At 37.2% G+C, this 13,241-nt stretch overlaps 1 protein-coding gene across 8 annotated transcripts in view; it reads right to left on the reverse strand.

The window, feature by feature from the left end:
* GPM6A (glycoprotein M6A) overlaps positions 1-13,241 on the reverse strand; it is a 369,457-nt gene that overhangs the window by 38,270 nt on the left and 317,946 nt on the right. For 6 of the 8 annotated variants that reach the window (NM_201592.3, NM_005277.5, NM_001388090.1 and 3 more), the window contains one exon: positions 2,474-2,630. The exons of the other annotated variants lie outside the window; for them this stretch is intronic. In NM_201592.3, coding sequence (NP_963886.1) covers positions 2,474-2,630 — 157 coding nt within the window. The remainder of the gene's footprint in view (positions 1-2,473; positions 2,631-13,241) is intronic. 8 annotated transcript variants of the gene reach the window in all.

Genomic DNA, 13,241 nt, shown 5'->3' on the forward strand with positions numbered 1-13,241 from the left:
TAGTAACCATTTACTTTTTATGCAGCAGAGAGAAACAGGGATAGAATAACAAATTTCTGTTAGTATTAACTAAGGAAGATTTTTATATACTTGTTGCAAAAAAAAAAAATCCACCCTTTAGTATTATTCAGTGTTCCAACTAGAGCTGCACCGATATAGTACCTTCAAAAGCACAGACTCATTCACAGCTACGGAACACAGGCAAAAGAGGTTAACAGGTTCACTTTGAACATAATAAAGTAGACCGTAAGATACAATCTGCCTACAAACGAAAAAAAAAAAAAAAAAAAAAAAAAAAAAGCAGCATCAGTAGAGTGGAAATAAGTAGCAGGAGAGGGTGGACGATAAATCTTTCTTTTCCCCTCGATTTCATGGAGCTACAAGTCCTGCGTGATATGCAAGCTGAGGTGGGGGTGTGGAGGAATGGTTGGCAGAGGGGAAGGGAGGCAGGGTTCTGCAGCGCTGGCTGCAGCCGCCACTGTTTACTTCTCAGTCGTGGAGCTAGCCCCCTTCGTGAAGGCAGTGTTGGGACAGCCAGGGTATGGCTCAGAGCCTCACCCGCTGCTCTGCTGTCTCTGCAGAACGCAGAAGAATGCAGCTCCTACTCCTGTCTCTGCTCTGCTCATTCCGGGGTGTCAGGGAGGTGTTACAGGAGTGGGCGGGGCATCTTGCTGGGCTGACACCCTGCTGCATTGCCTCTGGAGGAGCCCACGCAGCAGCTGCTGCCACCCTTCTGGTCTGTTGGGTGGGACTGGTGACACAATTGTTACCATTATAGAAAAAAAAAAAAAGAAAGAAAGAAAACGTGGCTCATGTTTTGCTTCGAAAATTCCTATTTGAAATACCTTTAAGATGCTTGAATGGCAGGCAGATAACCAAGTGCATCTCTCTCTATATATAGATATGCAATTCTTCCTTGATTGCTTTGTCTTTTTATTATGAAGTTATTTTCAAATTCTGAATGAAATAACACAATTGACTGCACTCGTCCTGGCAGAAGGTTATTACCTTACGGTAAAGACGTGCTTTCAGACCCCCTTATCTCTTTATTTTTTCGTTAGGGTTTTAGAATCACAGACTCGTTGAGCTGGAATAAGCTTTAGAAATGATCCTCATTTTGTAAATGAGGAAACTGTGATCCATAAAAGGTAAGTAACTTGCCAAGGCACACCAGTGGCATTACAATGTTACTGTTCCAATTGTAATAAAAAGCCAATTACTATATAACTCAATTCACTATACTCTATTGACAGAAGGGAAATGAATCTTAAAATCGGAATTTGCCTTTTTACTGGAGAAATTGCTTGGGCATCACTGAAAATTGGACCACAAATTAGTCATATTTTATTTTTTCATCAATCCAATATCTCTCTGTAACTAAGTTTCCCTGGATCTATAATTCGCTATTACTGATTTAAATAATTTCAATAATAAGGCACAATTTAAAGCCCCTTAGTCACATTATTGGGATTCCAGTTTTACTCCTACTCATATATTTTATCTCTTTGGGTGTTACAATAAGTTTTGTCCCAAACTAAAAACAGATGATTCTTATAAGAAATAATTCCAGAGACCACTACAAATACCCACAACTCAGGCAAACTATCTTATCAGATTATTGTTGCTGTTGACACCAAGAAGCATAATAAAATGTGTTAGAAACAGGTTAAAATAAAAAAGGTTTGCTGGTAAACAGGCATTTTTGAACATTTCTGTGAGATTGAAGTAATTTACATCAGTCCTTATTAGAGACAGCTTACTTAACATGAATTATATGCTATAATTAGACACATGTTGTTACATAACATTAGAAAAAAGGAAAATATGTCTGTCAAGAATGGAAGCTTCAACATTTCATTCTAGAAAAATTATTCTGTATAAAAGTGCAAAAGTACTTTCAACCTTATTATTTTTCATTTTCACCACTCATGCATTAATAGATAGATACGCATTGTCTGTATTACAAAACTGTAGAGTAAGACTATAAGTTTGATTTGCCATTAAATATTATATAAATTAAAATTTAATGCTGAAATTAATAGAATTCTTAAATTAATAGAAAACAGAAATCATATGATATAGCTGTCCTCAAATTTACAGTAAAATACAGAGACATATGTTTAACAGGAGACAGGCACATGTATTGCTTATAAATTGGAGATGAATTTTTCTGTGATTCTCAAGAGAATCACAGAGCCCTTTGGAAAAAAAAAACCATACATCAATCAACAGTGTTGCTACCTCTAGAAACAAAACTAGTTGTGCTACATAGAATCTGAGTATTTGAAACTGAATTTTCACAAGGAATAATCTTAATTTCAAAAATAATGTTATCAAGATTTAAGATAGCATCACAGAAGGAAACGTTACTGTGTGAAAAAAAAATACTTTAATTCTTGGGAGATGAATGCAAACACCTGTGTGCTATTGAAATCAATCCACATTAAATACTGAATGTAGAGAACTAACATACCCAAGCGCTCACACATCTGCCACAAGTGGTGATTTTGAAATCCCCATAGAGATCTTTGATGGCCCCAGTTGTGAAGAAACCTTCCACCATCAGCAAAATGCCATACACAAAGAACGCAGCTGCGATGCCGTAGATCACATACTTAAAGATGTCAATCCTGAGAGAAAAGACAAAGTGATTTATTTCAATAACTTTTCATTGCTGCTGTGCAGAAATTGATTCTCACATGCTCATGATTCTTTTGGAATGAAAGTTATAGAATATTTATATTCATAATGAAGGTTGGATTTAAAAACATGTTTGCTTCATATATCTAATGTTTATATACAATTTTTTTGCTGCCACTTCCAATATTTGTTGACAAGAGATTTAAGGTTTTCATGTTTGTCAGTTTCTTCTTCTTTTCTAACTTCTCCTCTTCCCTGGTTCACACCAAAGTAAGCTGGAATAAGCAATAAATTATACTTCTAAAGGAATTTGCTCCTTATTTTTATTTAGTTATTTATTTATTTATTTTGAGACAGAGACTGCTCTGTTGCCCAGTCTGGAGTACAGTGGTGCGATCTCGGCTCGCTGCAACTTCTGCCTGCCGTGTTCAAGTGATTCTCCTGCCTCAGCCTCCCAAGTAGCTCGGATTACAGGCATGTGTCACCATGCCCAGATAATTTTGTCTTTTTAGAAGAGGCAGGGTTTCACCATGTTGGCCAGGCTGGTTCAAACTCCTGAGCTCAGGCAATCCACCACCTTGGCTTCCCAAAGTGCTAGGATTTCAGGCTGAGCCACTACTCCTGGCCTATTCATTTGTTAAGTAGGGTAATTATCATATGATTTCTCTAATTAGGACAAAATACCAAATGCAAAGATTTGTGTATGTAACACTGGTTTTTAAAACTTACATTAAAAGGGAAGGAAGCTTTATACTTAATGATGCAGTAGTTTTACATAAAATGATACAAATTCCATATTTTTACGTTACAGATAGTCAATTATAGTTGTATTCTATTTTGTACTCATCATACACATCATGTGTATTTGTTAATGATAATGCGAATAATGAAAAGATATGGTTTTACAGATAAACATTGACAATGAAGCCATTTAGGTATACTCACTAATGAATATTCAGCAGAATTGGATCTGAGCCAAGATATGGCATACTTTTATAGTGGCATGGGAAGGTCCTTTTCATTTTCTCACAATTGATTACCCAGTTTTGCTTTTTTTTTTTAAAAGAAAAAAACACCATGTGGCTAAAATAAAACATTTATCTAGAAAATATAAAAATGTGCACAGCCAGAACTGATACATAATAACAGATGGATATATGGATAGATAGATAGATTTAATTCTTTTCCCCAGCTCTGTAACTAGGAAATGATATTCAATAACATTAAGAACAATTAGTTCATTTATGAATGAAGATCATTTGCATTCCCATGTTTTGAAAACATTCATTCCATACATATGCTCCAAATAATATCTTTTAAATCTGTAGGAATATTCATAGTCCTAGGTGTAGCTAGAGTTAAATACTCCATTAGGATTTATTTATTTTATATGTATATATGTATATATATTATATATATATCTGCATGATCAGTGAGCTTTTATATTCAACGTAGTAAGAGTTGTAGAAACAGCCAGTTAAATGCAGATGTGGCAATAACACCAACTGAATGCTATGCAATAGTTGCTTAACCTAAAAAACAGGTTATATTTAACACTGGGAATGTATTAATTATATACATTTCTTTGGATAGAGACCATGACTTTCTAATTAAAAGTTAATACAGCACCAATATATAAGTACTTGTTGATGTTAAATATTTCCTTGAGACTGCTGGGTGAATTCAGTGAGTATGAAACAAATTTACACTTTCAATAAACCCACTAATCTTCCTTTGAACTTCTAATTTCCTTCATAATTAAGATTTTTAATGATTTTTCTTCGTATAATTTCCACTTATTTATTTATTTATTTATTTTTCAAGACATGGTCTCCCTCTGTCACCCTGACTGGAGTGCAGTGACACGAGCATGGCTCACCGCAGCCTCAACCTCCTGGACTCAAGTGATCCTCTCGCCTCAGCCTCCCAAGTAGTAGAGACTAGAGGTGTGCACCACCATGCCTTGCAAATTTCTTCGTTTTTTTTGTAGAGACGGGGTTTTGCCATGCTGCCCAGATTGGTCTGAAGGGATCTGAACTCCTGGGCTCAAAGGGATCTGATATGGTTTGGCTGTGTCCCCACCCAAATCTCATCTTGAATTGTAGTTCCCATAATCCCCATGTGTCATGGGAGAGACCCACCGGGAGGTAGGTGAATCATGGGGGCGGTTACCTCCATGTTGTTCTTGTGATAGTGAGTGAGTTCTCGTGAGATCTGATGGTTTTCTAAGATGCTTTCCTGCTGCTTCTCACTGCACTTCTCTCTCTTGCCGCTATGTGAAAAACGTGTTTGCTTCCCCTTCCACCATGGTTGTAAGTTTCCTGAGGCCTCTCCAGTTGGCTGAACTGTGAGTCAATTAAACCTCTTTCTTTTATAAATTACCCGGTCTCAGGTATGTCTTTTATAGCAGCCTGAGAACGGACTAATACAGGATCTGCCAGCCTTGGCCTCCTACAGTGCTAGGATTACATGTGTGAGCCACTACACCCAGCCTCCCTTTAATTTTTGACATCTCTACTAGAATATAAGTTTCATAAAGACAGAAGTTTTGATCATTTATATCAACTACTGTATCTTCCACTAGAACGATATCTGACAATGCTGGATAAAAAACTGAATTGGGTGGGGGCAGTGGCTCACGCCTGCAATCCCACCGCTTCGAGAGGCTGAGGTGAGAGGATCACTTGAACCATAGTTCGAAACCAGCCTGGTCAACATAGAGACACCCCATCTCTACAAAAATTTAAAAACTAGACAGTCTTGCTGGCAGAAGGCTGTAGTCCTAGCTACGTGGGAGGCTGAAGCTGCAGTATTGTTTGTGTTGAGGAGGTCAATGCTGCAATGCGCTACGATCACACCACTGCACTCCAGCCTGAGAAACAAAGTGAGAACCTATCTAAATGTAAAAAATGTGAAAGGAAAAAAAAGGAAGTAATTTAATCATTAAATTAATGTATGTTAATGAGTATCACAAAAGAGCTAATGAATAAGATAAGTGTCTATCAAAAGCCTCTTAATTCTTAGCTATCATTTTCTTAGAAAATAAATTTGATTTGAATCCTCCAGATCTATTTAAGTATCTATCCCATGATTTTTTTCCCAATTAAAACTGGTCACATATATATCCTTTGTGGCTCAAACTTAACTTGTCAAATTATTTAAGTAAATTTCAGCATACCAGTACCCTATTTATTTTCAACAGTAATTTTTTAGATCAACTTCAAGATTCATCAATGTAATTTTAATCGTTTCTAATTTGCTTAAATTTCATAGCTCAAAAAACTGCATTTGTTGTTGTTTTTAATAACATAGGAATATGTTATTAAATATGTACATAAGGAATGAATATTATATAATGTGTGAAGAATGAACACATTTTTGCTATGATAAGTAATACATTTTCATTGTGTAACTACTGTTTAGGCTATAAATTTGGCCTGAAATGTTATGTTTCGGTACCATTTTGGGGAAGTGAGGGGTTTAACATCTTCCTCCCTCTTGGCAAATAGGTTTTCTCTACTTTTCTATGTGCTAACACATAAACAAAAAAGGCTAAGAGAATTTGTTGGCATAAGACAAAAACCTCTAAAGTAGGGAATGATTTTCTTGTAGAGGATTTGTTTGGTAGACAAAAGTACAAATGAATGGGGGGGAAGAAAAAAAGAAATTTAAGGCATAGAACTGAAAAAATTGCAAACATGCTAAATGGGAAGAATTTGGCCAAAAAAAGTGCTTTCAATAATTTTCCTAGTTTTTATATGAAATGAATTATTGAGGGAAATCCATTTTAATCTCTAAAAACTAATTATTGCTCAGAAAATCTTTTTCCGATCATTCTGGTTCTAAAAATTTTCTGATGTAATTAAACAAAAGCATTACACTCTCAAAGAACTAGATAATATCTGCTAAATAAATATTTTAGAAAAGAACTTATAAACAAAAAGCAAGAGCCTATATTAAAGAAATCCTGAGATAAGCATATCACCATATCCAAATGTACCAGTCATGAAAAACGTGGTCACAGATTGCTAGTCCATTGAATAATTCTTTCAACACAGGAAACAATCGAGCAAAAAAGTTTTAGCCTAAGTCAGTCACATGATGGTTAGGATATAGCTATCTCTATTAAATTATTGGACCTCAACAATATTTCTTCCTTTAGCACATGTATTTTATATATATGGAAAAAACAGCGTATACGTCTTGAGTTCATCATGTGGAAGCAGTCACTTAATATTTTGAATTCCCCACTCCAGGCCATACAGACACACACAGAGACACACTCACACATATGACTTCACACTGATAAGGCAAAGAACATATGGAACATCTGGAGGAGAACTGTCAATGGCATTGGAGAAAAGAGAAAGAATCTTCTGGGAGTAGGAATTTTATTGAAGTGAAGAAGGGGTCATGGTGTGTGGAAAAGTATGTATATTAGCTAAAGGTCTATTTCTGCAGCCTTGATACTGTTTTATTAACAAATTGTTGTTTATTTCACTTTCTCAAGCTTGAATTTATTTTCTTAATTAATTAGAGTACGACTAGAATGGATAGGGGTGGCATTAAGTGATGGAGACATCCTGTGATTATATACAAGAGCAAAATGAGGGGATAGAAAGCTTGATTATGCTGATAGAAATCTAGAGATCCTGTGACAATATTTTTGAAAGAATGCATGAAATAGGATTTGCTGCATAGCAGATGAGAGAGAGAGAAGAACTTGGTAATGGTAATGTCCCAGAGCAATTGTTTAGTGGCTGACTTTCACTGCCTGAAAGTCTAAATATTGCAGAAATCTATTTGTCAAAGGCAATGAGGCAGATGATGTGAACTGTGTAAACCTGTCGCGCATTTGAAAGAATCTGAGGATGTCAACTTACAGATCAAATTTGACATCAAGAACACTTTAAAGAGTGTTTCATGGGCTATTCTATACAATTCTTTTGGTGAAAATGGCATGTTTTCTAAACATATTTTAATTTTTTATTTGGAAATAATTTCAAATTTACAGAAAAAAGTTGAATAAAACAAGTAGTATGTGGAGCAACTTTACATCCTTTCTCTGTAACATTTTATCTCATTTACTTGATTGTTTTCTCTGGATGATATATCTGAACATAGAGAACATCTTCACAGTGTATAGTTATTGACCTCAGGAAATATATCATTGACATACTTATGTCAAATCTTTATTTGTATTTCAATTTCATCAACCAACTCAATGATGAACTTTGTGGGATTTCTTTCTTGCCTGATACCGGAGCCAATCTAGGGGCTACTATTATACCCATTTGCTGTGTCTCTGGTCTTCTTTAATCTGGAACACTTCCACTGTCTTTCTGTGTCTTAATGACATTTATGTTGTTGAAGAATATAACTCTATTCTGCCCTTTTTGAACGGAATGTTCCTTTTGAGTTTGTCTGATGTTTCCTCATGGTTAGATACGGGTTACTCATTCTTGGCTAGAATACTATACAAGCGATATTGTGCTCCTGTCAGGGTATCTCCCTCCTCACTCACACAAAGCCCTTCTGCCTCTCAGTACTAATTTTAATTTTCATCATCTAGTTAAGATGATGTCTGATTTCTGTACTGTGTACTACTTCTCTTCCAACTAACAAGCGATCTGTGAGGAGATACTTTAAGACCAAGCAAACATCTTGCTCCCGGTCAAAACTTCTCCCCAATGTTAGCACCCCATCCAATGATGAGTATTGCCAGACCCAATCTTCTTATCATGTTTGCAAAATGATGATTTCCTAACTCCATTACCAGCTCCACATTTGCAAATAGCACTAGGTATTCTGATGCAAGAAGAGCCCACCCTTTTCCCCCATTTATTGATTTGTCTATTTGTTAGTGACACGGACTAATGGTATCTGATTTTTTTCTCAAGGTTTAAATGCCATTACAATAGCTCATTATTTTGGTACTCAAATTTTTCTAGACTTGAGCAATAGGAATCCCTTCAAGCTGGTTCTTGTATCTTTGTGACATGTGCCTAGCAATTTGTAAGAATACTCCTTGCTTTCTCACATAGCAAGATGCTCCAGGCTCACCTTGCACACACCTCTTTCAACCTCAGAAACAGGCATCTCTTTGAGAAACTCTCGTCCTATTAAAGAGCAATGGTATTCGGGACCAAGATGTGGTGCTATATGTGCTCATTGCAAATGTTGTGTCTTTACCTTTAGGTCTTTTTATTGTATCAAGGTAAGAAACACATGTATGTATACACACACACATCAATATATGCAACTATATAAACATATCTATATATGTGTACATGTATGTGTGTTCATATATACATATATATACATGTGCACATGTAACTGCATAACAAATATACACATATTTTAGAAATATTGAGTATACAGTGATACCTCCAAACCCAGTCTATCGCTACAGGGATTTTTATTGCTTTCCTCCTTTGATATTTGTACGTCTTTCTTCCATAATGAGAATACTGACTCCCAAGAATATTAACACGTTTATTCTTTGGTTTAATTCCATAATAAATCTAAAATTATTTCAGAATTACTTATTCACCTCATTACAAAAATCATATCTATCTAGAAAGAGTTCTTGTGGTTTGCAATCCTTCCCACACCTTGCCCAAGACTGAGACTATATAGTCAATATACTGTGTTTCTAAGTTACATGGATTAGTGTATTTTTTCTTCCCTTCATTGTGGCCATGTTAATGCAACTGTTTGTTTCAGTTTCACGTTGTCCATCTCATCCATATTGACTTAGTTTCATTTTTGGATATACAGGACATTAACATGCTTCTTAAAGTCAAATCTATACAAAAGACATATCCAGAAAAGTGGCAAGACTTTTCTATCCTGTCCGTCCTGTTCCTTGTAGGTAACCCATTTCATTGGATCCTTGATTATCTTTACTGTGTTTTTATGTAAAGGCAAGTGTGTGCATGTTTGTGTATATGTCTATTTTCCCTTCTTTTTACATGAAATGTGCATACTCCATATATTCTTCATATATACTCCATATATTCATACATTTGTACTTTGATCAATGAACAATAGTCTTTGAAAATTTCTCTATACAAATTCATAGAGATTGTTCTCATTCTTTTTAACTTGCATACTACTCCATGTGTATTTACACACTATCATTTATTCACAAAATCTCCAATGCTTACTTATATGGTTATTGATATCTTACAGTTAGAATATTGCAGCAATGAATAACTTTGTTCATATGTATTTTCAAATAATTGAAGATGTATCTTTAGAATTAGGATGGGAGGATTGTTGAGTTGGAAATTAAAGACATATGTAGTTTTGTTACGTATTGCCAATTCCTCTCTATAGGTCTTGTACCATTTTGTATTCCAACCAGCAGTATATTAGAATGTCTGTTTCTCCCCATCCTCAACAGAAGAAAGCATTGTTAAGCTTTTAAATTGTTGCTAATCTGATGGGTGATGAGTGGTATCCTGGTATTGCTTTATTTATCTTAGGTATTCATGAAATTCAACATCTTTTAATATGATTATGGGCACTATATATCTTTTTATGAATTGTCTATTCATGTGTTTGCCATTTTACCATAAGATTTGTGGTCCTCTCTGCACCCCATAATTTTTAAAAGATCTCTATAAATAAGGGATATTATACTTTTGTCTGTTGATAGTTTAGATATTTGTCCTTGCCTAAACTTCATGTTGATTGTAATCCCCAATGCTGGAGGTGGGGCCCAGTGGTAGGTGTTTGGATCATGAGAACATATCCCTCCTGGCTCGGTGCTAACTTAAGAGGGTGTAGCACCTCCCCTCCAACTCTCTCTTGCTCCCACTCTGGCCATGTGATGTGCCTGCTCCCCCTTCACCTTCTGCTATGATGGCAAGATTTCTGAGGCCTCCTTAGAAACCAAGCAGATGCCAGCACCATGCTTCCTGTAAAACCTGCAGAACCATGAGCCAATTAAATCTCTTTACTAATTGCCCAGTTTCAGGTATTTCTTTATAGTAATGCAAGAATGGTCTAACAGAGAAAATTGGTACTGAAGAGTGGGACATTGCTATAAAGATACATGAAAATGTGAAAGCAGGTTTGGATTGGGTAGCAGGCAGAGGTTGAGAGAGTTTGGAGCGCTCAGAAGAAAACAGGAATATGAGGGAAACTTTGGAACTTCTTAGACACTGATTAAATGATTGTGACCAACATGCTGATAGTGACATCGACAGTGAAGTCAAGGCTGACAAGGTCTCAGATGAAAATGAGAAACTTATAGGGCACTGGAGCAAAGGTCACACATGTTATGCCTTATTGAAGAACTTGGCTGCATTTTGTCCATGTCCTAGGCCTCTGTGGAAGTTTGAACTTCAAAGTGATGATTTAGGGTATCTGGCAGAAGAAATTTCTAAGCTGCTAAGTATTTGCATGGGTGCTTCTAACAGCCAATGCTCAGATGTGGGAAGAAATAAATAACTTTAAATTTGAAATAATATTTAAACAGGAAGCATAGCATAAAAGTTTGGGGAATTTACAGCCTGACCATGTGGCAAGAGGAAAAAAAAAGTTTTCTGGAGAGGAATTCCAGAATTCAAGCAGGACGTGGAGCAATCTCTTGCTAGAGAAATATGCATAACGGAAAAAGAGCAAAGTACTAATATCCAAGACAATGGAGAACAGGCCTTGAAGGCCTTTCAGAGACCTTTGTGGTAGCCTCTCCCATCACAGGCCCAGAGGCCTAGAAGGAAAGAATGGTTTCAGGGGACAAGTCCAGGGCCCCACTATCCTATGCAGCCTTGGGACACTGTTCTTCACATCCCAACTGCTCATGCTCCAACCATGGCTCAAAAGGCACCAGATACAGCTTGGGCTGCTGCTTCAGAGGGTGCAAGCCATAAGCCCTGTCAGCTTCCATGGTGTGCTAAGCCAGTAGATACACAGAATGCAAGAGTGAAGAACACTTGGCAGCCCCTGCCTAGATTTCAGAGGATGTATGAGAAAGCCTGGGTGCCCAGGAGGAAGTCTGCTGCAAGAGTGGAGGCCTCACAAGAACCTCTGCTAGATGCAATGCCAAGCAGAAAAAGAGTTTGGAGCTCCCACACAGAGTCCCCACCAGGGCACTGCCTAGTGGAACTGTGAGAAGTGGGTCACTGATCTCCAGACCCCAGAATAGTGGATCCACTGGTAGCTTGCACTCTGTGCCTCAAAAATATGCAGGCACTTAAATCCTGTGAGAGCAGCCACAGGAGTTAAACCCTGCAAAGTCACAAGGGTAGAGATGCTGAAGGCCTTGAGGGCCCATCCCTTCCATCAGTGTGGCCTGGATAGTGGGACACAGAGTAAAGATTATTTTGGAGCTTTAATATTTAATGACTGCCCTGCTGTATTTTGAACTTGCATGGGGCCTATAATATCCTTTATGTCAGTCAATTTCTTCCTTTTGGAATGGGAATATTTACCTACTGTCTGTGTCTCCATTGTATCTTGGAAGGAATTAACTTGTTTTTGATTTTTCAGGCTCACAAGTAGAAGGGGTTTGGCTTGTCTAAGATGAGACTTTGGACTTTTGAGTTAATGCTGGAAAGAGTTAAGACTTTGGGTGACTGTTGGGAAGGCATGATTATATTTTGCAACATGAGAAGGACATGAGATTTGGGAGAGTCCAGGAGTGGAGTGATATAGTTAGGATATTTGTCCCTGCTTAAATCTCATGTTGAATTATAATCCCCAATAATGAAGGTAGGGCCTGATGGGAGGCATTTGGGTCTTGGGGGTGGATCTCTCATGGCTTGGTGCTATCTTAAAAGTGTGTAAGTGTGTGGCACCTCCCCTTTAACTCTCTCTCTCTCCCTCTCTTGCTCCTGCTCTGGCCATGTGAGGTGCCTGCTCCCTCTTTGCCTCCCACTATGATAGGAAGATTCCTGAGGACTGCCCAGTAATAGATGCCACTATACTTCTTCTATAGTGTGCAGAAACATAAGCCAATTAAACATATATACATATACTTTTTTTTTTTTTGAGAAGGAGTTTTGCTCTTGTCTTCCAGGTTGGAGTGCAGTGATGTGATCTCGGCTCACTGCAACCTCCACCTCCTGGGTTCAAGCAATTCTCCTGTCTCAGCCTCCCGAATTGCTGGGATTACAGCCGTGCACCACCACACTAGCTAATTTTTGTATTTTTAGTAAAGATGGAGTTTCACCATTTTGGCCAGGCTGGTCTCAAACTCCTGACCTCGTGATCCACCTGCCTCTGCCTCCCAAAGTGCTGGTATTACAGGCATGAGCCACTGCACCCGGCCTTACATTTTTTAATATATATACATTATTCAGTCTTAGTTATTTCTTTATAGCAATGTAAGAGAGGGCTAAGACACAAGTGACAGATGTTACAAATATTTTCTTCTAGTTTGCCATTTGTCTTTTGGCTTTGCTTATGGCATTTTACTATGCAACTTTAAAAAAAGAGAAATTATATGTTGTCAATGTTATCAGTGTTTATTTTTATTACATCTCATCTGGGATTTTATCACAGTTAGAAGCCTTTACCTACACCCAGAGGAATTCACCCATGCCTTCTTCTAGCATGTGTCCAGTTTCATTTTATTATATTTAGACATT

The sequence above is a fragment of the Homo sapiens genome, chromosome 4, assembly GCF_000001405.40.
Source record: "Homo sapiens chromosome 4, GRCh38.p14 Primary Assembly".
In the NCBI taxonomy this organism is placed as follows: domain Eukaryota; kingdom Metazoa; phylum Chordata; class Mammalia; order Primates; family Hominidae; genus Homo; species Homo sapiens.